At 37.4% G+C, this 27,759-nt stretch overlaps 1 protein-coding gene and 2 pseudogenes across 2 annotated transcripts in view, besides 1 other annotated feature; all 3 read left to right on the top strand.

Annotated features, from left to right (window-relative positions):
• AP3B1 (adaptor related protein complex 3 subunit beta 1) overlaps positions 1 to 27,759 on the top strand; it is a 294,177-nt gene that overhangs the window by 244,171 nt on the left and 22,247 nt on the right. For both annotated transcript variants that reach the window (NM_001271769.2, NM_003664.5), the window contains exons 23-24: positions 11,254 to 11,485; positions 16,083 to 16,167. In NM_001271769.2, coding sequence (NP_001258698.1) covers positions 11,254 to 11,485; positions 16,083 to 16,167 — 317 coding nt within the window. The remainder of the gene's footprint in view (positions 1 to 11,253; positions 11,486 to 16,082; positions 16,168 to 27,759) is intronic.
• Positions 4,010 to 4,586: an enhancer, noted in NCBI's record as "OCT4-NANOG hESC enhancer chr5:77341766-77342342 (GRCh37/hg19 assembly coordinates)". NCBI's record gives its function as "activates a minimal SCP1, AML or CMV promoter by ChIP-STARR-seq in primed H9 embryonic stem cells {active_cell/tissue: H9 hESC(primed)}" and the evidence as "EXISTENCE:reporter gene assay evidence [ECO:0000049][PMID:30033119]".
• On the top strand, positions 6,296 to 8,648 carry LOC100422441 (heat shock protein 90 alpha family class B member 1 pseudogene; annotated as a pseudogene).
• Positions 27,504 to 27,576, top strand: TRQ-TTG7-1 (tRNA-Gln (anticodon TTG) 7-1; annotated as a pseudogene).

Here is a 27,759-nt window from a genome sequence, read left to right as displayed (position 1 = left end):
ACCACAGTGTGTTCCTATAAGGCTGTAGTATTTTTAAGGACACTGTTATAATTGAGCACTCAGCATTAAATAATGTATAGTTATGACCAACACTAGAGGTATATTATTTGCAAATTTCCATAATCATTTAAAATAGTAAAATTATGCTTTGAGTTCTGAGAAAGGGTAAAATTAAGTTTAATACATTGAGCATAAAAGTGGGAAGTAGATGGGAAGACAGGTAATAAACATAACAAAAAAGTAAATTATATATTGTGTTAGAGAAGGTATTAAGTGTCTATAAAAAAGGAAAAAGGAAATCAGAAGGGAGGGATGCCAATGGGTTAAGCCTTACTAAGATGGTAATATTTGAGCAGACATACTAGAGCTGAGCCATGTGGGTCTCTGGAGAAAGTGCCTTCCAGGTAGAGGGTCCCAGGGAATAACCTATAGTGGGACTGTTACTAATATGCAAAAGGAATAGCAAGGAAGTCATGGCGATGAGTAGAATAAACAACGAGTTCAAGAGTAATAGGAAACAAGATCAAGGAAATGGAACAAGGATCCTGGCCATTGGCGGGTTTTGAGCAGAGGGGTAACATGATACAACTTTTCTTTTTCTTTTAACTTTTATTTTAGGTTCAGGGGTACATGTGCAGGTTTGTTATACAGGTAAACTCATATCACGGAGTTTGGTGTACAAATTATTTCATCACCCCAGTGCATGATGTAACTTTAACTGATACATTCTAGCTGCTGTGTTCAGGATAGACTAACATAGCAATTCAGTCTATGTTCAATAAGATGCAGGGGTAGGAACAAGGAAACCAATTAGGAGGCTGTTGGAATAATCCAGATGATAGGTGGTGGTGGCTCAGACCGGGCTGGCCACAGTGGCAGTAGTGAGAAATAGCCAGATTATTTCATTAAAATAACTGGGTTTTCATCCATGATGACTCCCTCAGGTGTCAGCTATGACTTTTGTGTTCTTCTAGCCTACTGAGCCTGCTTCTGTCATGACATTTATCACACTAGTTGATTTACTCTGTTTTCCCAGGCTAAACAATAAACTTCTTGAGGACTAGGATACTTTGGCTTTGTCTCTGTATCATACTCCTTAGCACAGGGCTGGTACAACTCATTGAATAAATGTTATTTACATGAAAGAATGAATTAATAAATTAATGGTGAGTAATGATTAATGATTTGTAGTTACTTTGTGTTTGAAATAACGGTGTTCTTATTGGACAGAGAGCTGTGAAATACCTAATTCTTGCACGTTACCACCTTTCTCCCCAAGATGCCCAAGGGAGACATAGGGTCAGAGGACAAAGAAAGGCAAAGCCGTACTTTGTTGTTATTGTGGGCCTTGCTCTCTAACCGCAATACAGAACTCCAGTGAGTTAGGTTGGCCCACATCAAGGACTCAAAGTTCTTTTCTATTAAAGGTAGAATTAAGTAGCCTTGATGCAAAACAAATTATTAGTTGAGTCACATGAAATTGATAGTTTGACTGTTTTTGACCTACAGATATGGCAGATACATATGGTTCAGTCTAATCAAAAGCCTTACCTGAGTCTGTGATCTCCTGGCTCCATATCTACCAGGACTTTAGAGAAAGTGGGGGAAGGGGGCATTCTCCCATTACAAGCTTATTTCCCCTTCTAATTAGTGTCCTGAAATCTGACTAATCCCAACCAGTAGTAGAGTGGGGGAGATAGATGATAGAATCCCAATTTGAACTAGGTTAAGTAGTAAATAAATAAATAGGAAATTACAGCTACAGTTCAGAGAAAACAACTTCAGCAAGGACAGTAATGTGTCTGGGCATCAAGAACCATCCAGCTCAAAGTTACCAGCTAGTTTCTCTGTCTCTCATCTATGCTTTTCTTTGAAATTTGCTTTATTATTTTTTTTTCTCACTGAACAATGTGGCAGGAAATGTGGCCACAGACAAAATTAGAGTTTTAAATCTCAGAATTTTAGCTGCTTGAGAGAGTCTGGCTCAAATTACTAGGTACCAAATCCAAAAATCCTAGGAAAGGAACTCATTGGGCCAAATGTCCATCCCTGAACCAGTTAACTGCAGCCAGTCATGGGGAGGCATAAGAACTTGCCAGCTCCATCATGGGCTGAATGTGTTTCTAGAAAATAGTAGGGCATGTTGGGCTGACAGTCTCATACATAACCACTATAGGGTAAAGAAGCATTGGGGGCAAAGCTTCCTCAAAAGGCCAGCACTTAGTCTTGAACCAAATAAAAGCAATTCTGAAACAATGAATTCTTATTCTGCATTGTCATTGGACTTACTCAACACTTTGTTGTCGGCTATCAGAACATTTCTGATACTTCAGAAACCCACAGGAATAATTAAAGTCATAACATGGATTTTCATAAAGGAAATCCAAAAGAAAAAAGTAACCTCTACTTTGTAAAGTTGTATTCTGATTAGTAAAGCCACTAGCCTGTATGGCACCATTGCGCAGATTCCAAAAAGTTTCCCTTGAATGTAAGCTGGATTTTAGCTCCTATTCACCCTTTCAGTCAGTTGCCACTGCACAGATGTATATGGTGGTCTAAGTGTTAGCTGTTTGAAATAAGCGGCTCTGGGAATTGTTAAATTATTTTTTTTAAATCAAGCATCAAGAACTGTGAAGAGTCTGAGATGTTACCCTACTTACAAGCTAACTAGTTAATTTGCAACAATTTCATGAATGCTGGTAGAAGACACAAGACTCCTGGTCAGAGACAAAGGACAGTTTGTTAAAGCAATAGAAGTAGCCAGAGTAGCATCATTTGCATCACTTCTCTGAGCCCCACATGCTGAAGGCTAGGTGAAGCCTGCACATGCATTGTGTTGCTTTACAGGAGAGGAACCTGATCAGAGTAAACAGACAACCTACAGAATGGGAGAAAAATTTTGCAATCAATCCATCTGACAAAGGTCTAATACCCAGAATCTACAAGGAACTTAAGCAAATTTGCAAGAAAAAAAATCAAACAACCCCATCAAAAAGTGGGCAAAGGATATGAACAGATACTTCTCAAAAGAAGACATTTATGTGGCCAATAAACATGAAAAAAAGCTCATCATCACTGGTCATTAGAGAAATGCAAATCAAAACCACAATGAGATACCATCTCACACCAGTTAGAATGGGGATCATTAAAAAGTCAGGAAACAACAGATGCTGGAGAGGATGTGGAGAAATAGGAACACTTTTACACTGTTGGTGGGAGTGTAAATTAGTTCAACCATTGTGGAAGACAGTGCGGCAATTCCTCAAGGATCCAGAACCAGAAATACCATTTGACCCAGCAATCCCATTACTGGGTATATACCCAAAGGATTATAAATCATTCTACTATAAAGACATATGTGCACGTATGTTTATTGCAGCACTATTTACAATAACAAAGACTTGGAAGTAACCCAAATGTCCATCAATGATAGACTGGATAAAGAAAATGTGGCACACATACACCATGGAATACTATGCAGCCATAAAAAAGGATGAGTTCATGTACTTTGCATGGACATGGATAAAGCTGGAAACCATCATTCTCAGTAAACTAACAGGAATAGAAAACCAAACACCGCATGTTCTCACTCATAAATGGGAGCTGAAGAATGAGAACACATGGACACAGGGAGGGGAACATCACACACCAGGGCCTGTTGGGGGTTGGGGGAGTAGGGGAGGGCTAGCATTAGGAGAAATACCTAATATAGATGACAGGGTGATTGGTGTAGCAAAACCACCTTGGCACGTGTATACCTATGTAACAAACCTGCACATTCTGCACATGTATCCCAGAACTTAAAGTATTTTAAAAAAAAAAAGATTCTAGGCTTTTATAAGGGGACTGTTAGCAAATCTATTCAGCCTTTGCCCCAGAGGGAGATTTTGTCTTTCTAATCCTGGACAATGAACAAACAAATCTATCACCTGCCCCAGAGGGAGGCATTACCTCTGTCTTCCAAAGGCTGTTTGCTGTGGAAACATCTTTGAAAAGAGCTTCAGAAGCAAAGTTGCTAATGTTTCTGCTCAGAAGACGTGAGACCTGTAGAGCCCTTTTTGGCACCAGGGACCCGTTTTGTGGAAGACAGTTTTTCCATGGACCGTTGGGAATAGGGGGATGGTTCTGGGATGAAACTGTTCCACCTCAGATTATCAGGCAGGCGTTAGATGCTCATAAGGGGCGTGCTGCCTAGATCCCTCGCATGCGCAGTTCACAATAGGGTTTGCACTCCTATGAGGATCTAATGCCACTGCTGATCTGACGGGAGGCAGAGCTCAGGCGGTAATGCTTGCTCTCATCAGCCACTCACCTCCTGCTGTGCGGCCGGATTCCTGACAACCCATGGCCTGGTACAGGTCCATAGCCCAGGGACTGGGGACCCTCTGCTGTAGAGAATTGTTTCCAACAACAAGGGAAGGGAAGTGGAATGGCAAGGATCTAACATTTGTGCCCTTAGATCGGGGGTCAGCAAACTTTTTTTGTAAAGGTACCAGATAGTAAATGTTTTAGGTATTACAACTACTCACCTCTGCCATTGTAGAGTAAAAAAGCAGTCAAGGACAGTATGTAAATGAAAGAATATGGTTGTGTTCCAGTGATACTTTTTAAAAATAGGCAGCAGGCCATATTTGGCTTGTGGGTTATAGTTTGCAACCTCTGCCCTACATGTATTGTGTTTAGACTTATTAAATCTTCCCTTTTTCTTAAACCCTCATTTTCACAGCCCAAATCTAGATCACTTTATAATTATGTTTTATCTTTTTTTGCATCTAATAAAATCATTGTTGTCTATAAAATATGAAGTCAAGAACGCCATTTGCAATGTTGAGCATCTTAGAATATAAGCAGCCACAGATCTCATATGTATTTCTGGAATATAGGTATCTGGTCTGATGTACAAAATATTGAACTAAAGTCTAAATATATGTTAATATTAATATAACACTGGATTAAATGTATTATATGTGGAAGTAGTCGAAGTATTTATGGAACCCACTCGGTTTATTGAACAAAATATCACCTATGTATTTTATCTAGATGCTGGAGAAGTTTGGCGTAATATGACTTGTATAAACTTAGGAAACAAGGTTAAAAAAGTAATCAAACATTTTCTTTTTCTTTGTGTTTTTTTTTTTTTTTTTTTTGAGACAGAGCCTTGCTTCATCACCCAGACTTGAGGACAGTGGCACTATCTCAGGTCACTGCAACCTCCACTTCCTGGGTTCAAGTAGTCCTCCCACCTCAGCCTCCCAAGTATCTGGAATTACAGGTGCATGCCACCACGCCCAGCTAATTTTTCCATTTTTAGTAGAGATGGGGTTTCACCATGTTGGCCAGGCTGGCCTCAGACTCCTGACCTCAAGTGATCCACCCATCTTGGCCTCCCAAAGTGCTGGGATTACAGGCATGAGCCACCACACCTGGCTATGTTTTCATTTACTACCTTTCTGTAGTTAAACAAGTATATATTATTACCACGAAGTGTCATTTATGATCCTGTTTATTGTGAAAGAGTGCATAGACCTCTGGGAATTATCACAGATAACCTTTGGAGGTTGTAAGGGAGGGCCTTTTTAGACGGTGAATTCATTAGAGAATGCTTTTTACCTTGAACTTGGTTGAATGTGGAAAGAATGAGTGGAGAGAATTATACTGTTTTTCTTTCTTTATTCATCCCTTAACATATTTTTTGATAATTATAATAAAGCTGTAGAATTTTGAGACAAAGTTGAAAACACAAAATAAATGTTTGGACCATGCATCCTAGGATTAGACTGAGAGAAGGAATCAGTGAGTCTGCCAAGGCTTGATGGCTCTTAAATGACTAAAGGCATACTTCTAACCACCTTGTATGATATCTACAGTACTGATTCCTGGCCGCTGTGAACCAGACCTTTGTTCTGTTCTGCTCTAGTCCCACTCCTCTACCCTTGCCTTTCTCCAACTTTCAAATAGTCTTCCCTTTTACATTACAGTTTCAGCTTTCTTTCCCCGATATTATATGTAGGCCAACTTTTTATGAATTTCCACAGAGATAAAGCTGGCTACATCAACATTTATTTAATGATTTGATAACAAATATGTTTGTGGAACAATGTAGAATAAAAGTAAGACCTGTCACTGTCTCTAATATGCTTATCATTAAGGAAATAAACATGTAACACTGAAAAATATAATTAGCCAGATAAGAGCTTATATTTAAGGTTGATTATCATAGCCTTAGTAGCATGGGAATTTATGGCAAAAAAGAAAACTTTTGCTGAGTATAAATCTATAAATATAAAATATATAGCTCTGGAGTCATCCCAGTACAGCCTTGGTGCCATGTGCATGTCGGAGAGTCCCAGCCCACCTTGCTCTCTAGTACTTGTAGCCTTTTTCTTTCGAGATGCCTGAGAAAGTGCACGTGGAGCGGAGGAGCTGGAAACTTGCCTTTCAGGCAGATATTGCCCAACTCATGTCTCTCGTCATCAATACCTTCTATTCTAACAAGGAGATTTTCCTTCAGGGGTTGATCTAATGTTTCTGATGCATTGGACAAGATTTCCTGTAAGAGCCTGACAAACCCTTCCAAGTTGGACAATGGTAAAGAGCTGGAAGTTAACATCATCCCCAACCCATGGTAATGGTTCCCAAATTAGGAGATCAGCCTTGGTCATGTCAATGCCTGTGTCTACCAAAGTCAGGGTGTATTCCCTGGTACTAAAGGATTTATGGAGGCTCTTCAGGCTAGTGTAGATATCTCCATGATTGGGCAGTTTGGTGCTGCCTTTTTTTCTGCCTACCTTGTGGCAGAGAAAGTAGTTGTGATCACAAAGCACAACAATGATGAAGAGTATGCCTGGGAGTCTCTGCTGGGGGTTCCTTCACTGTATGTGCTGACCATGGAGAGCCCATTGGCAGGGGTACCAAAGTGACCCTCCACCTTAAAGAAGACCAGACAGAGTACTTAGAAGAGAGGAAGGTCAAAGAAGTAGTGAAGAGCACTTACAGTTCATAGCCTATCCCATTACCCTTTCTTTGGAGAAGGAAAGAGAGGAGAAAATCAGTGATGATAGGCAGAGGAAGAGAAAGGTGAGAAAGAAGAGGAAGATAGGCCAGGCACAATGGCTCATGCCTGTAATCCCAGGACTTTGGGAGGCTGAGGTGGCAGATCGATTGAACTCAGGAGTTTGAGACCAGCCTAGCCAACATGGTGAAACCCCAACTCTTTAAAAGATACAAAAAATTAGGCGGTCATGGTGGTGCGCACCTTAGGTCCCAGCTACTTGTGGGGCTGAAGTGGGAGGATCCACCAGGAGGTGGAGGTTGCAGTGAGCTCATATCACACCACCGCACTCCAGCCTGGACGACAGAGTGTTACACCATCTCAAAACAAACAAAAAAAGGCAGATAGAGATGATGAGAAAAAGTCCAAGATTGAAGAAGATGTGGGTGGGTTCAGATGAAGAGGAGGACAATGGTAAGGATAAGAAAAAGAAAACCAACAAGATCAAGGAGAAATCATTGATTGGGAAGAACTAAACAAGATCAAGAACATTTGGATCAGAAACTCTGATGACATTCACCCAGGAGGAGTATAGAGAATTCTACAAGAGCTTCACCAGTGACTAGGAAGACCATTTGGCAGTCAAGCACTTCTCTGTAGAAGGTTGGTTGGAATTCAGAGCATTGCTGTTCATCCCTTGTTTGGCTCCCTTTGACTTCTTTGAGAATGAGAAGAAAAAAAGAACAACAAACTCTGTGTCCATCATGTGTTCATCATGGACAGCCATGATGATATAAGAGTATCTCAACTTTAATCCTTGGTGTGGTTGACTTGGGATCTGCCCCTGAACATCTCTCGAGAAATGCTCCAACAGAGCAGAATCTTAACAGTCATTCACAGAAACATTGTTAAGAAGTGCCTTGAGCTGTTCTCTGAGGTGGCAGAAGACAAGGAGAATTGCAAGAAATTCAATGAGGCCTTATCTAAAAATCTAAAGCTTGGGCCAGTTGTGGTATCTCACCTCTGTAATCTCAGCACTTTGGGAGGCCAAGGCAGGAGGATTGCTGGAAGCCAGGAGTTTGATACCAGCCTGGGCTGCAAAGCAAGACACCATCACAACAAAAAATAAAAAAAATTAACCCAGCATGGTGGTACACACCTGTAGTCCAAGCTACCTGAGGCAAGAGGATCACTTGAGCCCACGAGTTCCAGGCTGCAGTGAGCTATGATTGCACCACTGCACTCCAGCCTGGATGACAGAGTGAAACCCCTATCTATAAAAAAAAAATAAATAAAATTTTAGAATTTCAAAAATTAAAATCTAAAGCTTGGAATCCACAAAGACTCCACTAGCCAGTGACGCATGTCCTAGCTGCTGCAGTATCACACTTCCCAGTCTGGAGATGAGATGACATCTGTGTCAAAATATGTCTCCTGCATGAAAGAGGCACAGAAATCCATCTATAGCATCACTGGTGAGAGCAAAGAGCAGGTGGCCAGCTCTGTGTTTGTGGAGCAAGTGCAGAAGTGGGGCTTTGAATTAGTATATACAGCCAAGCCCACTGATGAGTACTGCGTGCAGCAGCTCAAGGAGTTTGATGGGAAAAGCCTGGTCTCAGTTACCAAGGAGAGTCTGCAGCTGCCTGAGTGAGCTGAGATCGCACCACTGCACTCCAGCCTGGCGACAGAGCGAGACTCTGTCTCAAAAAAAAAGAAAAGAAAGAAAGGAAACAGAAGAGTTTTGAAAATAGTTTTTATTCAAGGAAAAGAACCTAACCTTAGAAGTGAAAGTGCTTTGAAAACTTAAAATACTAGATTGTTATCATCATCAGAAGGCTTAAATAGAATGAATAGGCCAGTAGCCCTATTATTTTATATAACCAAAATTTTAAATTTAGCTAATTGTTTATTATATTTTACAAATAAACTATCCCATAAATTTTTATGATTATTATTTTATTATTATTATTTTTTTTTTGAGACAGGGTCTTGCTCTGTCACCCAGGCGGGAGTGCAGTGACCTAATCATGGCTCACTGCAGCCTCAACTTCCTGAGCTCAGGCAATCCTCCCACCTCAGCCTCCTGAGTAGCTGGGACTACAGGCGCAATGCACCACACCCAGCTAATTTTTTACATTTTCTCTAGAGACAGGATCTCACCATGTTGCCCAGGCTGGTTCTCAAACTCCTGGGCTCAAGTGATCCTCCTACCTCGGCCTCTCGAAGTGCTGAGATTAGAGGTGATGATTTTTTTTTTTTTTTGAGACGGAGTTTTGCTCTTGTTGCCCAGGCTGGAGTGCAATGGCGCGATCTCAGCCCACAGCAACCTCCGCCTCCCAGGTTCAAGCCATTCTCCTGCCTCAGCCTCCAGAGTAGCTGGAATTACAGGCATGCGCCACCATACCCGGTTAATTTTGTATTTTTAGTAGAGACAGGGTTTCTCCATGTTGATCAGGCTGGTCTCAGACTCCGGACCTCAGGTGATCCACCCACCTCGGCCTCCCAAAGTGTTGGAATTACAGGCGTGAGCCACCGCGCCTGGCCAGAGGTGATGATTATTTTAAATTGCCCACATTTTTTGTTGCACTTTTAGAGAAAGAATACTATGTTTTGATGATGCTTAGAAGGCATGATGTAGCATTTTGTATATATGATATTTAACTCTTGGATTTTTGTGGAACTTTAAATCATTACTATAATTGCTACGTTTGTAATGTCATCAGGTGTACACGGCATAGTGAAAATGTTTAATAGGTTGATATATACTCTCAGAACTATAATAGAGAATCTAGTTGGGAGACAACACTTGTCAGGAAAAAATCTTAATCAAGCCTGTTTAATTACAAATTGATTTTTTTTTTAATGCTTGCCCATGTCAGGTCAAGCCTAGTATGCAATACTGATATTTTGAATGGAAAGAAAGCTATCACATGGTTTTAGAATGGACAGTGTTTCATTATTTAATATGCTGCCTATGATTTCAATGAAAATGAGATTGAGGGAAGAATTTAATTAAGAGTCTAATGTTCAATAGAAGGGTAAAAGGTGATTTACCAAGAAAATATTCGGAGGGGGAAATAAGGAAATATTTGTTTTACCAAATAATTGAATTATATTGTAGGTCTACAAAAAATAAAACAATATGGGACTGGTTTAACAGGACAATCAAGGCCCAGAAATATCTCCTAGTACATAAATAATTAGAATTTTTGCATTTAAAATCATTGAGAAAAGACTATTCATTAGCTCATGTAGGGACAATTAGTTCAGTATCTGGAGAAAATTAAATATGGAGTCAATATATCAAAATCAATTCCATATGAATTAAAATTTGAAACCATCAAAGGTCTGGAAGAAAATATAAGTGAATAGTTAACTTGATCTCAAAGTAGAGATCATTAAGGCAAAGGAAGAAGCCACCTTATCCTGGGGGCCATGGTCTTCAGTTTACAGTAAAAGAAAATAAAAACAAAAAAACAGTTCAAAGAGTCAGGATTGGAAATGAAGGTCCAGACGTTCATTTTGGTAGTTGGCTAAAACACCCAAGAAAATCAATTGACAAACTGTTAAAACCAATAAGAAAGTTAGCAAGATGGCCAAATATAGAGGATCTAGGGAAAAAAACTAACAAAAAAGTTTATAAATCCCTGCCCCCCAGCAAAAAAAAAAAAAATGAGTATGTTTGTAATATTAATATATGCTTGGAGGTTACAGAAAAATTTCTTTTTTTTTTCTTTTCTTTTCTTTTTTTTTTTTTTTGAGACGGAGTCTCGCTCTGTCGCCCAGGCTGGAGTGCAGTGGCGCGATCTCGGCTCACTGCAAGCTCCGCCTCCTGGGTTCACGCCATTCTCCTGCCTCAGCCTCCCAAGTAGCTGGGACTACAGGCGCCCGCCACCATGCCTGGCTAATTTTTTCTATTTTGTTTAGTAGAGACGGAGTTTCACCGTGTTAGCGAGGATGGTCTGGATCTCCTGACCTCGTGATCTCCCCGTCTCGGCCTCCCAAAGTGCTGGGATTACAGGCGTGAGCCACCGCGCCCAGCCGCTTACAGAAAAATTTTCATACAGTTTTGAGGGCATTTACTTCTTTGTATCATTTCTGACTAATATCTATGTGTGTGATATCCTACTAATGTTTGTTATTGTAGTTCATATAATACTGTAGGGGAACCAAGAATTAAATGTCATAAATGTTTGCATATTTTCTAAAAGAATAATTATATTCACTAACTCATCTTTTTTTCTTTTTGCCGTGTGTAATAGGTCAGTACTCCTGCATTTGTACCAACGAAAACTCACGTGCTGCTTCATCGAATGAGTGGAAAAGGACTAGCTGCCCATTATTTCTTTCCAAGACAGCCTTGCATTTTTGGTGATAAGATGGTCTCTATACAAATAACACTGAATAACACTACTGATCGAAAGATAGAAAATATCCACATAGGGGAAAAAAAACTTCCTATAGGCATGAAAATGCATGTTTTTAATCCAATAGGTAAATATTAATTCTCATTTAAAACCTTAACTATATTTGATCACTAAATATGTTCATTTTAAAAGTAAAGTAGAATACTTTTTAGTAAAATAGTAAAGTAGAATATGATTGTATTGACAATTAGCATATTCAGTTTATATTTGCTTTTTCTTGTTAAACTGAATTTATCATATAAGATAAATACATTTCTTTGCTCTTAGTGAATCAGGTCCCAGTAATAGTAATACCAGTAGTGATGGAAGGCTAGGTCTGCAGAGTCAAGATTGCCATCATGTTTTACTTACCTGTGTCACCTTTCCCCATCTCTCCTCCTGGTCAGCTTCATTCCCTGCATAATTTTAAGTGGTTTATTGTGTATTAAAAGCAAGAAAATCGCTCTGCATTTCTGAATACAATACTTCTCGTATCTCGAGATCCTTTCCTGTTTCCCTTCACTTTTCAATTTATGGGAAAGTGAAGGGAGTGAAGACTGAGAGGATATAGACCAAGCTTGACCAACCTGGCTCAGGCCAGCTTTGAATGCAGCCTAACACAAATTCATAAAGTTTCTTAAAACATTATGAGATTTTTTTGCGATTATTTTTTCTTTAGCTCATCAGCTATCATTAGGGTTAGTGTATTTTATGTGTGGCCCAAGACAATTCTTCTTCCAATGTGGCCCAGGGAAGCCAAAAGATTGCACACCCCCGATGTAGACTAGTCTGCTTATCTTCCTCTCCATGTATAGAATATACAGTAGCCTAGAGGATATCACTGGTATTTATCCACATCCAATTTTTACATGTTTTCAATCTGTTGCCACCATTTAAAAATGAAGATGCTTTTACATTTTAAAAAATGAGAAATCTCACTTTTCTTGGAGCAGAGCGTAAAATATGGCAGTACTGGCCCTTTATCCCCACATGCAGCAACCAATGAGTGGGTTGCTGAGCAGCGGCTGCCCCCAGCTTTGGCTCGCACTTTCCAGGTTGCTTCTGTGCCCACCGCATCCTGTTGTCTCTCCAACAAAGTGTCAGTGGCCATTTTTCATCCCCTTTGCATTTTTTAAGTATTTTGCTAAAAATATACCCTTTAAACATTAAATGTAACAATTGTGTGTCTTACTTTGAAATTTGAAATAGTGTAATATTTAGAATGTCTATCTCTTTCTTTTTGGTTTTTGTAAGTGGAGATAACCCTAAGGTTTAGTTGAGAGAAGCTTCAGGCAAAACCTCAATTAAAAGTAATAAAAGGTTTATGTCATTGTATCTTCCAAATGTTATAACCAGAATGCTCCAGAGAGCTCCTTTTTATAATACTTAAGATAAACAATGCCTTTTGACCAGGATCAAGTAAAATTAGGTAATTGTACCTTCTTTACTCATTGTTTCACATAACTCTTCCATTTTTCTTTATCTGAGCTCTTTGGCATTGCTGAATTTTCTCCTCTGGTTTTCATGAATCTTTCGGTAAAGAAAGTCATTTTGTGTGTGTGTTATATTTTTACACAAAGGAATAAAATAATTTTTGATAAAGCCTGGTAAAGTTTTATAAGCAACTAGAGCAAAGAAAGTGGAGTTAAAGTAAGCTGATTTCAAAATCCACTTAATTTTTAAAAATATTTTGATAATTAAGACACTATTTAAAGAACACAAAGTATCCTAATTTTTATTATATAATGTGTGACATTAATATATTGCCAAGGAATTATTGTGTTATTTTTGTTGCTTGTAATTCAACCTTTTTTACCTAGTTAAAAAAAATTAGTTTAGGAAGTGTCAAGCAGCTGATACATGAATTGTCTGAAGGTTGAGAATGTTATCCAAAGGTTAAAGCAGTAGAACAGTATTAATTTTTCTTTGAGCTGGCATAATGAGTTGATGAGTTGACCTTTAGTTGGCCTATGTAGAATAGAAGAAATAAATATAATAAATTTCATAGTATGACTTTAACAGAGAAATAAAATATGAATGTTTACCATTGCCTCAGTATTGGTTGTAGGCTTTTCTTTGTCATTCTTAGACAAATTTTTGTGACTGTATGTTTCATTCATTTGGTTGGCATTTATTGAATGCCTTCAAGATACAGAGTTCTTTTGTCTGCAGTATGTACTTGTATGTAACACCACCTGGATGACACTATTATCAATAGATTGTAGGGTTAAGGAATATAATATGTCTAAATTAGTCCTCCAAAAACATTTTAAGAATGCAACAGAAAACAAATACTGTATTTTAGTGTTTTAGTAAAATAAGGGAGGTAAGCTATTTGTTTTATTTATTTTTAAGAACGTATACACATTAAGGAGTCCGCAGTTTTCTTATTTGCCACCAATCTGGTTTTGTCTGTAATGTGCAATGACTTTTTTTTCTGGATTTCACTCTGTGTTTGGCATGAAACTGTATTCCTTACAAGAATATTAGGAATAATATTCCATTTTCCCCAAAGAGACCCAGTATATAAGAGGGTTTTTTTTAAGACACAAAGAATAGGTTAAGCTCTCTTTACTATATTCAGTGGCTTTATGTTAGTGGTTGACAAATTTGAGTTCAGCTAAGATTTTACCAGTTACTGTACAACTGTTACATCAAAGTAAATGGCATCCTATATGATTTCATGTGTTGATATTAATGTTGTGGCGTAACAGAGCCAGTGTTTTTCAGCCACTTCTACATAGCCATCTCAAATATATAGGAGCAAATCTAGAAATGGTGTCCAAACAGAGACACCTAATTGGGTAAGCTTTCCCAGTTTAGTCGGCTCCAAGTATTATAAAAATCCATTATTTGAATGAGTTTATGCTGATCATTTTGCTCCTGAAGCATCCATATAATAAAACATGCCATTGATCATGGACTGTCCCCCAGAATTAGTATGGCACTAAGCTCACAGTTAATTATCTTAAGACTGAAGACAGTATCAAACAGTGTCAAAGAGTGCTATCAACAAGGCATCTTGAGAGCTGTCACTTTGTCAAATGACATGCAAAGATACATGATGAAGGGAGATCTAAATCATGAAAGCCATCAAGTTTTGGAGATGACGGAATTTGCTACTAATGTGTCAGATAAAAACAAGACCAAACCCCAAAATAGTTATGGCACAGAAGGCATTAAGAATTCACTCAAGAATAGCCTGGAGCAGCGTGTGACTGACAAAGCTCTAAACTGTTGACAGCACATAGCTTTATGAGAAATGAAAAAAACATATGTATCATTATAGTTATTTACCCTACAGTAAAGCCTGTTTGCTAGAGATTTAGGGAGCAAGTCTTCTAGTATTTGAGTGGCATCCTGGAAAATGTTAGGTTTGTAAACAAATGAAATTCAAACTAGAATCAGCAAACTAACATACATACCACTGAGCAAATAGCATTTTAATTATTACTTTTTTTATTTTTAACATACTTCCTTTGCCTAACAAATAGCATTTTAAAATCAGCATTGAACAAATACTCTCTTGTAATGCTTACTCCTCATTGAGCCTATGAGATATAAACATAATACTTAATAAATGAAGCTTATTGAATTATTATTTTATCCCGACTGTACCATCATCTCTGTCGTGGTTAGCATTCAATGGCAAATCATACTTACCAAGAAGCCCTAGAATAGTCACAGTCTATTGAATTAGAAGTGTGCTTGCTAAAATATAACTACGTGTGATAGGATGTATAGAGAATAGATAAAGCTAAATATAAAGTGATTGTATGGTATAGCTGCAATTATACAGAATACTTTGAGCAAAGTAGAAATCAAAAATGGACAGTTTCTATATATAAACAAATATATACATATTTATTTAAGATCCCCTCAATTATTCTAAGATATAGCTAAACTTTCAAATCATAAGCAGAATAAAATTTTGTTCTTGTTTGCCTTAAGTTTTGTCATTGTTAACTGAAAAAAAATACTGTATTGTATATTGGTATAGTTATTTCCTATACTTGGTTAGTTGATAGATGAAGCTTCTGAAATTCCAAATCTATCAAATGTCATTTTATTTTTTGTTTTATAAAGATAATCTAATCTGCCACAAATTTTTTTGAGTATTTAATGCAATTAGACTTAACATTTTGGTTTCAATGTGAGATCTCTTAATTAATTTCTGAGTGCATCTTAATTTCTTCTTCCAACTTGATTTACATTTTTTAATTTAGGATTTTTTTCATTGAAAATTTTGGACATTGTTTAAAATTTACTTTTTATATCTAGAATAAACATGCCATAGTTTTAAGTACATAACCTCTTATGAACTCCCAAAGTCCATTACAGGTATGCGAAACAAGAACACATTTATTTCCTTCTCATTTTCAGTACCTATAGAGATAATATTAGAAAACATGACATTTCTCAGGAAGATATGTATTTCTGAAACAAATGGGTATAATGTGTTCATTGGTGTATGCGCAGAATTAATTTGTGAAAAAGAAAACCTTGAAACAGAATAGTTAGGTTACTTTGTAATTTGCTTTAATATTCTTAGTTTGAAATTTTTAAGCCATCATTACATTTCACAGTTTCAACCAAGCTACAAACATTACCTAAATTTTCAGTGTTTAGTTTGCCTCTTTTTCACATCCTCTGTGTTTTCATGTCTAAATTATCTTATTTCCTAGACTCTCTTGAGCCTGAGGGATCCATTACAGTTTCAATGGGTATTGACTTTTGTGATTCTACTCAGACTGCCAGTTTCCAGTTGTGGTAAGTTCAATTGTTCTTCTATTTTTTATATAACCTGTAAAGGATAGCAGATCAAAAACTAAGCTTTCAACAGCTTTTGTGTGTGTGTGAAAGACAAAACATTTAAACAAATATGTTTTGCTTTGATAATGTTTAGACTGCCTTGGAATAGTTGTACAAATTGTGTGTAGTATATGTATTTTTAGCATTCGTTACACACCTAGCCATTACAACCTGCCATATGTGATTGAAATCCATGGTTTGTTGGTTAAAGAAAGAAGCTACTACTAAGTAATTTTTAACTTATCACTCCAGTTTTAGAAAATTTATGAGAAAATTCATGAGGAAAATCCAGGAGAAATTAAAAGCATTAATAATATTATTAAATAGCTCAGAGAAGATATCTTTTGAGATATACATACATGTTATCTTGAGATTCTTAAGTGGAATATTATTGATGCCATCAGTACCTAAAACTCACACATTTTTTTTTTCCTTTTTACATCCATTTACAAACTGCTTTGATAAAAGTCAAAAGAGAACATTTATGCAGTTGGCAAAGGTTTCATAGCTGAATGCTGTTCAGAAGAGCTTTTTTAGGATTGGATTTTGTTGTTAATGTTTTTCTATAATGCTTTATACATTTCTTGTGAAATTCAGAGGCTATTAGCAAATTAGAACAAAGCCGTATTCATGCATCATTGAGAATTATCTTTGAACTCTTTTCTTTTTCTGATATAAGGCCCAATTGGCTATTTTGAGTTGAAGTTTCTTTGTTTTTATTCTAAAAAGAATTGAGACATTTTACCTACATTTTAGCTAGCTTAGAACAGAATTTGTTATGATTTAAAAGTCTTGAAGTTTTAGAAATAGACATTTTAAAATAAATGTATAGATTAAACATAGTGAACTTTTCATTTTCATATACCTTTTCAGTTTACCAGTAATTCTGGCCTAATGTTATACCTTTTATTGCCGAGAACCTGCAATGATAAATATAAGCAATGTAGCATAACACATTGATTTTATGCAGATCATCACCTTTATGTTTTGGGAGGTCTGCTGTATTAGTGATATATAAAAACTGATTACTTTTCCCAACATTGCCTAGTAATTGTTTATTATTTTTCTATTAGACAAACAACACAGATCAATATTACTGAACAACAGGCTATGAGTAACATCACTCTAAATAGATTTGCCTCTGACACCAGAGGTATATTCATTTTAATGATTTGGACAATGTGAACCCAATGACAAAGCTCACGTACCAAGTTAGACCAAAATTAAGAACTAAAAAAGATTCCTTTTTCTTATCAATTTGTATAAAGAACCTTTTGATTCCTATGTAATTGGATTTTTTTCCCCAATTTTATTTACAAAGACTTCCTTTATAGTCTCTTGAACAGGATTTGCATTTTGTCTTTCATAATTAACTAAGTCTCTTTAAGGATGGATATATATGCAGGTAGTATTTGATTTTTATCTTATGCCAAGGAGTGTATGTGAATAATATTTTTTCTAAATTTCTTTCAAACTAACATTAGGAAAATAATTCATGTATTTCACATAGAAAATGTTCTTGACTATTAAAAGCATTTACATTAGTATGTTTTGTTATTATAAAGATACAAATTATTTATTTTAGATTTTGTTAAGCACAACAGCATGCTAGATCAAAAATTTTGTGTGTGTGTTCCAAAAAGAGCACTTTGTCTTGCATCAAATGTAATTGATCCTGAAGCAGTGTAATCACAATTACTCACTTTCTTGATTGGCCTGCCCAAAATCAGAAAATGGAAACCGATCGACAGTGTTTAAATCAATAGCTTCATAGTAATGCTTGTGGGGGTAGGGAGATAGTGGTAATGGGTAGATCAATTGGTCTTAGATGCCAATCACTGACTGTGCCTTTTGCATAGTAAATAGCACTTTTTGCTTAGTGATGTGCTGTATTAGTCTTGGTAGTTCAATAAAAAGAAAAAAAGAAACAAGAATGGCTGATATTGAATTTTTTCCTTGAAATACATTATACAAATCGATACATAAAATTATGGGTAATAACAGCATATTTGATAAGAAGCCTTCAGAAATGCTGGGAACATGGACCAAAAGCCTGTCAGATACTCTTTTATTAGTTAGAATAAAAAGAATAGAGTAAAATGATCCTACTTTAGCTTCTGGATTAATTCTATATCATTATAATTGTATCTATGGATAAATAGATATAGACAGAACTGTTAAATTAAGCCATGTAGTTATATGTATATCTGATAAGCATTTTTGCCTCTTTTTTGCTTGGATTTTAAATGGTCATCAAATTAAGTTCTTGATTAAATTTATTGAGATCAAATATGTGCGCAATATACATAAATATATCTGTCTAAAAGTTAGTGCAGTACATAAACAGATCCTCATCCCCCACAGGCATGCATGCATTAACCAGTGTGGGAAGTCACACAGCTTAGTGCTAGTTAGAGAACTGAGCACATGTTTTTGTCCAAAGATCCATTAAAAAGAAAATACATTCTTTAATAGTGAATGAACACTGAAAATATAAGAACAGATGCCATTAGCTGACCAGAAATTATGAGGCATTATTGACAGAAAACAAATAGGAGCAGATAAACAATAACAGAGAAAATAAAAATCACAGGGTAAAACACTCGTGGGGGAAAACTACCATAATGGTAAGAACCAATCTGGCAGAACATCAAGCACAGCATGAGTAGGGGTCTTAAGACAGTCATCAGGGAATTAACTGCTTCCAGCCCCTTAGTTCCCCAATCTTACCCCTGACAGCAGGCAACATACACATTTAATTTGAGACTTAAGAATAAAACTGTAAAGAGAATGAGCCACTTGCCTGGGAAAGACGTTTTGGTGTGGATGTGGGGACCTACAAGAACAGAGCAGGGTTTGAGTTTGTGTGAAGGAAGCAAGGATGGTCAGAGATGAGATGAAATATAGTTTTATCCAAGAGAGTATCCAAAATATTCTCAGATCCTCACCACCAGGGTAAAGCCAGTGTCACGTTTGCTGGTGGGGAGGAAAGGCCATTTCCTACCTGCCTGCCTCCAACTTCATGTCCACATAACCAGTTAGTATCTCGTCCACTTATAAAAAATAAAACTTTAGTCAGCCCACCCAGGGGAGAGGAGACCCATAGTAATGATAGTTGCTAACTCAGTAGGTGAATAATGGAATGGACACAGCTGAATACTGATCGAGTGTTCTGGAAGAAAGGGTCAAGGAAATCAACTAGAATACAAAGCAAAAAGGCAGAGACAGAAAATAAGGAAAGTTAGAAGGATCAGTTCATCTCATAGGAGCTCTGGCAGGAAAGAAAAGACAATGAAGGGAAGAAATAATTTAGAAAATAAATTATAGAGGAACATTTTCTGCTGGATGTGGTGGCTTACATCCATAACCCTAGCACGTTGGGAGGCCAAAGCGGGAGAATTGTTTGAGCCCAGGAGTTTCAAGACCAGCCTGGGTAACATAGCAAGACCTTGTCTCTACCAAAAATCAAAAAGGGTTAGCCAGGTATGGTGGCACACACTTGTCATCCTAGCCACTTGGGAGACTGAAGTGGGAGGATCACTGGAACCCAGGAGTTCAAGGCTCCAGTGAGCTATGATTGCACCACTACACTCCAGCCTAGGCGACAGAGTGTATCCCTGCCCGTAATGAGTGAATGAATGAACATGTGCCCCAACAAAAGAAACACGCAAGCCTTCAGATTAAGAGGGCCAAACAGGGTGAATATGAAAAACTATGAAAAAGATCACGTCCTGGTGAATTTTTGATAAGGAGAAGAATATCCTATTATCTTCCAAAGCAGAGAAAAAAGCAGTTTACCTAAAAATGGACAAGAATGAGAATGGAATCAAATTTCACATCAGTACTCTTATCAGTTCTGGAAGCCAGAAGGTAAAGGAAATGACCTTTAAAATTTTGAAGATACCAAATAGTCATTTTTCAGCGAAGGATTCAATCAGTTTACCACCTGCACATCTTTTCTGAAAGGATTACTCAAAGATATGCTGTAATAGAATATTTTCTTAAATCTGAGACAGAACCAGGCATGGTGATGCATGCCTGTAGTCCCAGCTACTCAGGAGGCTGAGGCGGGAGGATAGCTTGAGCCCAGGAATTAGAGGCTGCAGTGCGCGATGATTGCACCTGTGAATAGCCGCTGCTTTCCAGCCTGGGTAACATAGTGAGACCTTACCTCAAAAAAAAATCAGAGACAGAGAAAAACATAGAATTAATAAAACAGTAGTGAGCAAAGCATTCTACGAAATTTATCAACGTATAAAAATAATTGTTGACATAATGTGAAAAATAAATATTAACAATAAATTGGAACCAAAATCCCCACAGAGACAAGTGCAAGGAGGAGTGATGGTATACTAGGGTTCTTGTTATGTCTGAGAAGAGAATTGATCGATGGCAAAAATTAGTTTAAATATTGTTTAAATTATTAAAGATAACCACTAAAATAATAGAAATGTGATGTATTATAACTTCTAAACAGCTAAAGGTAGGAAGAAAGGGAGTAATTAAAACCTGATCAGAGCTGCGTGTGGTGGCTTATACCTGTTATCCCAGCTCTTTGGAAGGCCAAGGTGGGAGGATCCCTCGAGGCCAGGAGTTCAAGACCAGCCTGGCCAGCATAGCGAGAACTTGTCTCTATTCAAAAAAATAATAATAATTTAAAATAAATGTTTAAAACTTGGTCAGTTTAACCAAGAGGAAGAGGAAAAAGCATGGCAAATATAAAACAAAAAAAGGTGGCTGGAGAGGCCATGCACACCACACATACTAGTTTTCACAATTCACGTCAGAGATTAAATCCTACTTTTACTAAACAGGTAAAAAACAAAATTTAACATATGCTATTTATGAGAAACCTCCCTAAGAGAGAATGGCACAGAAAAGTTGAGATTAGATAGATGAAGTGTGTGTGTGTGAGCGTGTGTGTGTGTGTGTATGCATTTATCAGATAGATGTGCTAAAACTAGAAAAATTAAGAAGTATTTTAGGTAAAAAGTAATAATAAAATATTTTGTGTTCATTGTAATCCTCCAAGAAAATACAATTGTTACAAACCATTAAACCATGCACTTTTGTAATTTATAAAGCAGAAAACAATACAAATACTAGGAGAAATTGTCAAAGCCATAATCATAGTATATTTTAACATGCACATCAGAAATGGACAAATCAGAGAGTAAGGTTAAATAGGTATAGATACATACAGGTTTAATGATTTAATTAACAAGCTTGATCTAAGATATATATGTTTACATAGAATTCCTTGTTTCCTGTGTACAGAAAATACTCATTTTTTAAAAGAACATATAGGATGTACAAAAAAAAGGAAAACTATGGGATAATATGATTAAAGAAAAAAGACAACGAAGAAAGATTAGAGAGGAGAAAGATGACAAAGCACAGAGATCTTTTAAGTTACAAAATAATACCATACAGTTCTACACCAGTAAATTGGAGTAGTTAGATGAAATTATTTCCTAGAAAAATATAAATTAGGAATAAAAACGATTAAATTGTATCAGAACCTTAAAAAAGAGAATTTTTCTAGAACAAAAGAAACGGAAATCATGCCATGTCATTCTGTAAGTCTAACATCACCCTGATTTTAAAGCCCAAAAGGATAACCTATGAAGATGGACATCAGTTGTAGTTATAAATTCAAATGACTTCTGGCCCGTACAGGTTACCCATAGCCACATGAAATATCAGAAACAATCTCTTTTAAGTCAGAAAAGCAAAACAAGGATGTCTGCTCACCACACTATATTCCACATTATAATGGAAGTTCCAGCCAATACAGAAAGGCAAGTAAACGCCATTTGCAGTATAAATCCTGGAAAAGAAGAGACAAAATTATAATTTTTTTTTTTTTTTGAGATGGAGTCTCGCTCTGTTGCCCAGGCGCTCTCAGCTCACTGCAACCTCCGCCTCCTTGGTTCAAGCGATTCTCTTGCCTGCCTCAGCCTCCCGAGTAGCTGGGACTACAGGCACGCACCACCATGCCCGACTAATTGTAGTATTTTCAGTAGAGACAGGGTTTCACCATATTGGCCAGGCTAGTCTCAAACTCCTGACCTTGCGATCCGCCCACCTCAGCCTCCAAAGTGCTATAATCCCATTACAGGCGTGAGCCACAGCACCCAGCCAAAATTATAATTTTTATTCAATTTAATTATTTTCTTTTTTTTTGTTGTTTTGAGACAGAGTCTTACTCTGTCGCCAGGCTGGAGTGCAGTGGTGCGATCTTGGCTCACTGCAACCTCTGCCTCCCAGGTTCAAGCGACTGTCCTTCCTTAGCTTCCCAAGTAGCTTGGATTACAGGCACGCGCCACCAGGCCCAGCTAATTTTTGTATATTTAGTGGAGATGGGGTTTCACCATGTTGGCCAGGCTGGTCTTGAACTCCTGACCTCAGGTGATCTGCCCGCCTCGGCCTCCCAAAGTGCTGGGATTACAGGCCTGAGCCACTGTTCCTGGCCTATTCAACATAATTATTAACCCATAAAGTTGGAATCAACAGAAAATCTATTATTTAAACTAATGAGTTTAGAAAGGTGGTACAAATACTTATGTAGAGAGAAAAAAACCTGGAACTTTCCTAAAGGGCATAAAGGAAGATATAATTAAATATAAAGAAATATAAGCAAAATAAAAAATAAATATACTGTGTTTTTAAATGGGAGACAGTATTGCACCTCAAATTAATCTTCAAATTCAATGTGATTCTAGGCTAAATGCCAGTCGACTTTTTCAAGAAACTTGACAAACTTCTAACATTCAGCTGGAAAAAAAAATGCACAAGAAAAGTCAACATTTTTAGTGAAAAAAGTCTTTCTCTATAATAATTTAAAAATATTCCTTAAAGCCACAAGAATATTTTTATTCTGTGTAATTGATATTGACACAAGAACCAATGAAACCAGAGAATTTAGAAATGTAGAAATTTTGTATGTCATAAAGGTGACATTTCAAATCCGTGGGGAAAGAACAGACCATGCAGTAAATGGTGTGAGGACCATTATTTGGAAAAAATCAAGGTAGCTTCCTCCCACAAATTATACCAAAACAAGTTCCATGTGGATTTATTATTTAATTATAAAAAACTATAAAAGTATTTAAATATAGTATAGATAAATATTTTCATACTCTGAGGACAAAAGTCTTAAGCAAGACACAGTACTCAGAAAGATATAAAGGAAAATAACTAACAGGTTCTTCTATTAAAAATTTAAAACTTCTCTACAAGTAAAGAAAAAGTAGACACCATAAACAAGATAATGAGAAAGCAGTGCAGCTTATTTGGCAGAAAAAAGTTTAAAAACCAGAACGTGTAGCTCTCACAATCAATGAAAAGGGAATCCAGTAGAAAGGTAAGGAAAAGGCTAAGAATAGGCAATTTACAAGAAAATAAATGCAAGTGGCCAACTTGCATTTGAAAAAGATGTTCAACATCACTAATATTTAGGGAAATAAAAATTAAAACATTTTACCCATCAGATAGGCAAAGTTTTAGAATAACTTTTGTGTCTGGTATTGACCAGGAAGGTAGAGAAAAACATGTACTCTTGTATGCTGTTTGTGGGATCTTAAATTGGCAATATCTGTAAAATATTCATACTTTTCAATTCAGCAATTTCACTTATAGTGTATCAAGCCTAGAGAAGTATTTGTGCTTGTACGGAAATAGATCTAGCCAAGTATAAGCATTGTTTATAATGGAGAAAAATTGGAAATGATAATCTGTGGGGGAATAATGAAATAATGATATATCCCTATTACATATGTAGGTTTTGAGTACTTCCTGTGCATTATTTCATTTTATTTCCTTTAATAGTTAAAACTAGCCTGCAAGGTAAATGTCACTCATTCATAGATGAGAAACTTGAGTCTCAGAATAGGCTGCTTGCCCGTTTCTCTTACCTACAAACTTTACCAGTTTGGATCCTATAAAGGAATCCGTGAACTGAGGTTACATGTACTACAAGAATATATGCTACAGTTAAATGTGTACCAAGTAGAATCTTGCCTTACATTAAACTTTTATGCCATCTGGTCCTATGTAGCTCGGCTATTTAAAGCTACCCTAATAATAGTGCTTCATTGATCTGGTAACTGTTAATTCTGATAAATTTACATCTATCATCAGTCATTTTCACATTCCCTATCCAAGTTGAGGCAGTTATGTGTAGAAATGGAGATAATCTGTCTCTCCCCTGTTTAATCAAAGGGGTTGTGAAGAAAAAAGGAAAAGAAAAGCTACATGGAGAGAGAAATAAATCAAAAAGAAGGCAAAATGGTAGAAAAGGAGATGCTTATAAACTGGAGGACATCCTAGAACACTCATGTAAATGAAAGTAAATTTTCCCCCAAATAAAGAGGAAATGTTCCATCTTAGTTCTATTATAAGCCACGCCTTGCTTACAAGATGAAACTGGCTTACAAAGTGAGTTATGTACTGGTTATATTGGATTTTGTATTTGGTTGTGTGTAACAGAAACCCAACTGCAGTGGCATGACCAAATAAGGATTTATTATCCTCCTAGAACAAGAACTGCAGGGGTTGGCAGTTCAGAGCTGGTGCAGTAGCTTCCCACTGTCTTCAGGACAGTAAGGTCTTCCACCTTTTTGTTTCATGTGCTAATTTTGTTAGCAAATGCTGGTCAACTTCGTGATCACAAGATGGCTGCTCCACCTCCAGGCTTCCATCTGCATTCCAGACAGAAAAAAGGAAAGAAATGACATGGAGAAAGGGGCCAGGTTTATGTCAGAAAAGCAAAACTTTCTCAGAAATATCTACTGAAGTTCTGTTTATAATTCATTGGTCATAACTGGGTCACTTGATCACTCTTAGCTACAAGAGAGGCCGAAAAATATGTTTCAGTTGGGCTCTCTAACGCCTTGCTTGTTGCGAGGAGGGACATTTCAGGATCGCTTTCCCTACCCCCTGCAAGCAGCTAGACATTCATAGATGCCTTAGAAGGCAGATCTCCTGCCTCTTCTCTCTCTGAACACCCCACCCTTCTCCCTTGGCATCATTGCTGTCAAGCCACTTTTAATCGAGGAGTATGTGGTGTCCTTCAGGAGTGTTGGGAAGAAGAGTTTCTATTAAAAAGAATAAACAAGTAATTCAAAAGTGTTGTAAATAATGATGTAACTCAGTGGTTCCCTAACTTTTGAAATTGTTTACCTCTATTAGTAAAAATATTTTGAGTATGTACTCTGTAGAAGTTTATTTGTAATTATATATGTGTGTGTATATATATGTATGTGTCTGTATTTCTTACTGTGCTAACATGTATTTTTACTAAAACATACAAAAATAGAGGCCAGGCACAGTGGCTCATGCCTATAATCCCACAACTTTGGGAGGCCAAGGCAGGAGGATCACTTGAGGCCAGGAGTTCAAGATCAGCCTGGGCAACATAGTAAGACTCTGTCTTTACAAAAAAAAAAAAAAAAAGGCCAGGCGCAGTGACTCACACCTGTAATCCCAGCACTTTAGGAGGCCAAGGCGGGTAGATAACTTGAGGTCAGGAGTTCGAGACTAGCCTGGCCAACATGGTGAAACCTCGTCTCTACTAAAATACAAAAATTAGCCCGGCATGTGGCATGCACCTGTAATCCCGGCTACTAGGGAGGCTGAGGCAGGAGAATTGCTTGAACCCAAGAGGTGGAGGTTGCAGTGAGCCGAGATTGCACCACTGCACTCCAGCCTGGGCGACAGAGTGAGACTCTGTCTCAAAAAAAAAAAAAAAAAAAAATTAAATTAGCTAGGCATGGTGGCATGTGCCTGTAGTCCCAGCTATTTGGGAGGCTGAGATAGGAGCATCACTTGAGCCCAGGAGGTCGAGGCTGCAATGAGCTGTCATCACACCACTGCACTCCAGCCTGGGTGACAGAGCTGAGACCCTGTCTCCCAGAAAAACAGAACCTTAAAAGGAATGAGAAAAAATAAATATAATTAATAGGGTTTTTGCCTATACCTCAGTTGATTGTCTTGTGCCTCTGACTTTGGAGAACTTTGTATACAGTGACTTGAAGCTGAAATTTTAAATTTCATACTGAGTTCATTTGTAATTTATATATATGTATTCCATGTATGTATACATACATCTTCTTCTAGTCCTTCACCAGTGTTTACATGTTTCTCTTAATGTGACTGTGTCTTCCCCTCCATCAGGTTTGGTCTCATTCTTCGAGTAGCCTACCCTCAATCCTTTCTCTCTTAAGCACTCCTTTTCGGCTGTTTCCAAAGAAGTATCCTACTCCTTTCTAGAGCTAACCCGCTCACCTCATTCTTGTGCTCTTCATCCCAACCTCTTTTACCTCTCCTAAGACCTTGCTCTACCAGTTATTTCTTTGTTTCTTCTTCTTTACTGGCTCTTTCCCCTCAGCCTCTAAGCATGCTCAGGTTTCTTTAGGTGTTATTCCTTTGCTTCTTCATTCTCAGGAAGCTTCTGCTTTCTGTTCCTTCTTCCATTGCCAATCTTCCCTTCACCCTTCAACTCACTGCATTGTGTAGTCTTCCTGCAATCTGAACAGCCTTGCTAAGATTAACAGTTATACTTCTTTTTATCCCTTATCTTATTCTGCCTCCCTGCAGTATTTGGCACACGCCTTTTTTCCTGACCACTCTTCCTCCAGTCTCTTCTGCAAGTTGCTTTTCTTCTGTTTTTACTTAAATACAGGTCTTCACCAGATTTGCGCTTTATCCTTTTTGTGGTATCCTCTTTTCCTATATGATTTTTATCTACTCATAAGGCTTCAGCTCTTCCCTACACCATTTACACCATTCTTACTGCTTCCAGACTCCTACATACTGCCCTGTCCTCTCTCCTGATTCCCTTTCTTTTTTCTTTTCTTTTCTTTTCTTTTCTTTTCTTGATGGGGTCTCACTCTATCACCTAGGCTGGAGTGCAGTAGCGTGATCATAGTTCACTATAGTCTCAAACTCCTGGGCTTAAGCAATCCTCCCAGCTCACGCTCCCAAGTAGCTAGGACTATAAGCACCTGTCACTATGCCCAGCTAGTCTCTCTCCAGATTCTTGATTTGTATTTCCAATTATCTGCTGAATATCTCTTCCTGGGTAACTCAGTACTCAAAATATAATGTGGCTAAAGCCAAATCTTTTTCTTTAAGTCCCTAAACTCCTTCAGCACACTGTCATTCACCCAGTTGTTCACATTAGAAGGTGTGAAGTTTCTTCCCTCCATTCATCACCAGGTGTGTCCCTTCTGTTCTAGAATATCCATAAAATATTCCATCTTCCCCTTGCCCAGTGCTACCCACCCTGGGGAAGCTGTATATTATAGTGGAATAAATGTGGACTTTGAAGTTAGATACACCTGGGTTCAAATCCCAGTGCTGTCAGTTACTAGCTGTGTGACCTTGGGCATATTGTTCAACTTCTTTTCAGTTTTCTCATCAGTAAATTTGAAATAACAGAAGCTGTCTCTTAAGATCCTTTTTAGGCTTTATTTAAGTAAAAAACACACAGTAAATCCTTAAAAAAAATCAAAATCCTGCCTAGACTATTAATTTAGACTCCTAACT

This window comes from Homo sapiens, chromosome 5, assembly GCF_000001405.40.
Source record: "Homo sapiens chromosome 5, GRCh38.p14 Primary Assembly".
In the NCBI taxonomy this organism is placed as follows: domain Eukaryota; kingdom Metazoa; phylum Chordata; class Mammalia; order Primates; family Hominidae; genus Homo; species Homo sapiens.
The sequence above is the reverse complement of the archived record's forward strand: the minus strand, read 5'-3'. Positions and strand labels throughout refer to the sequence as shown.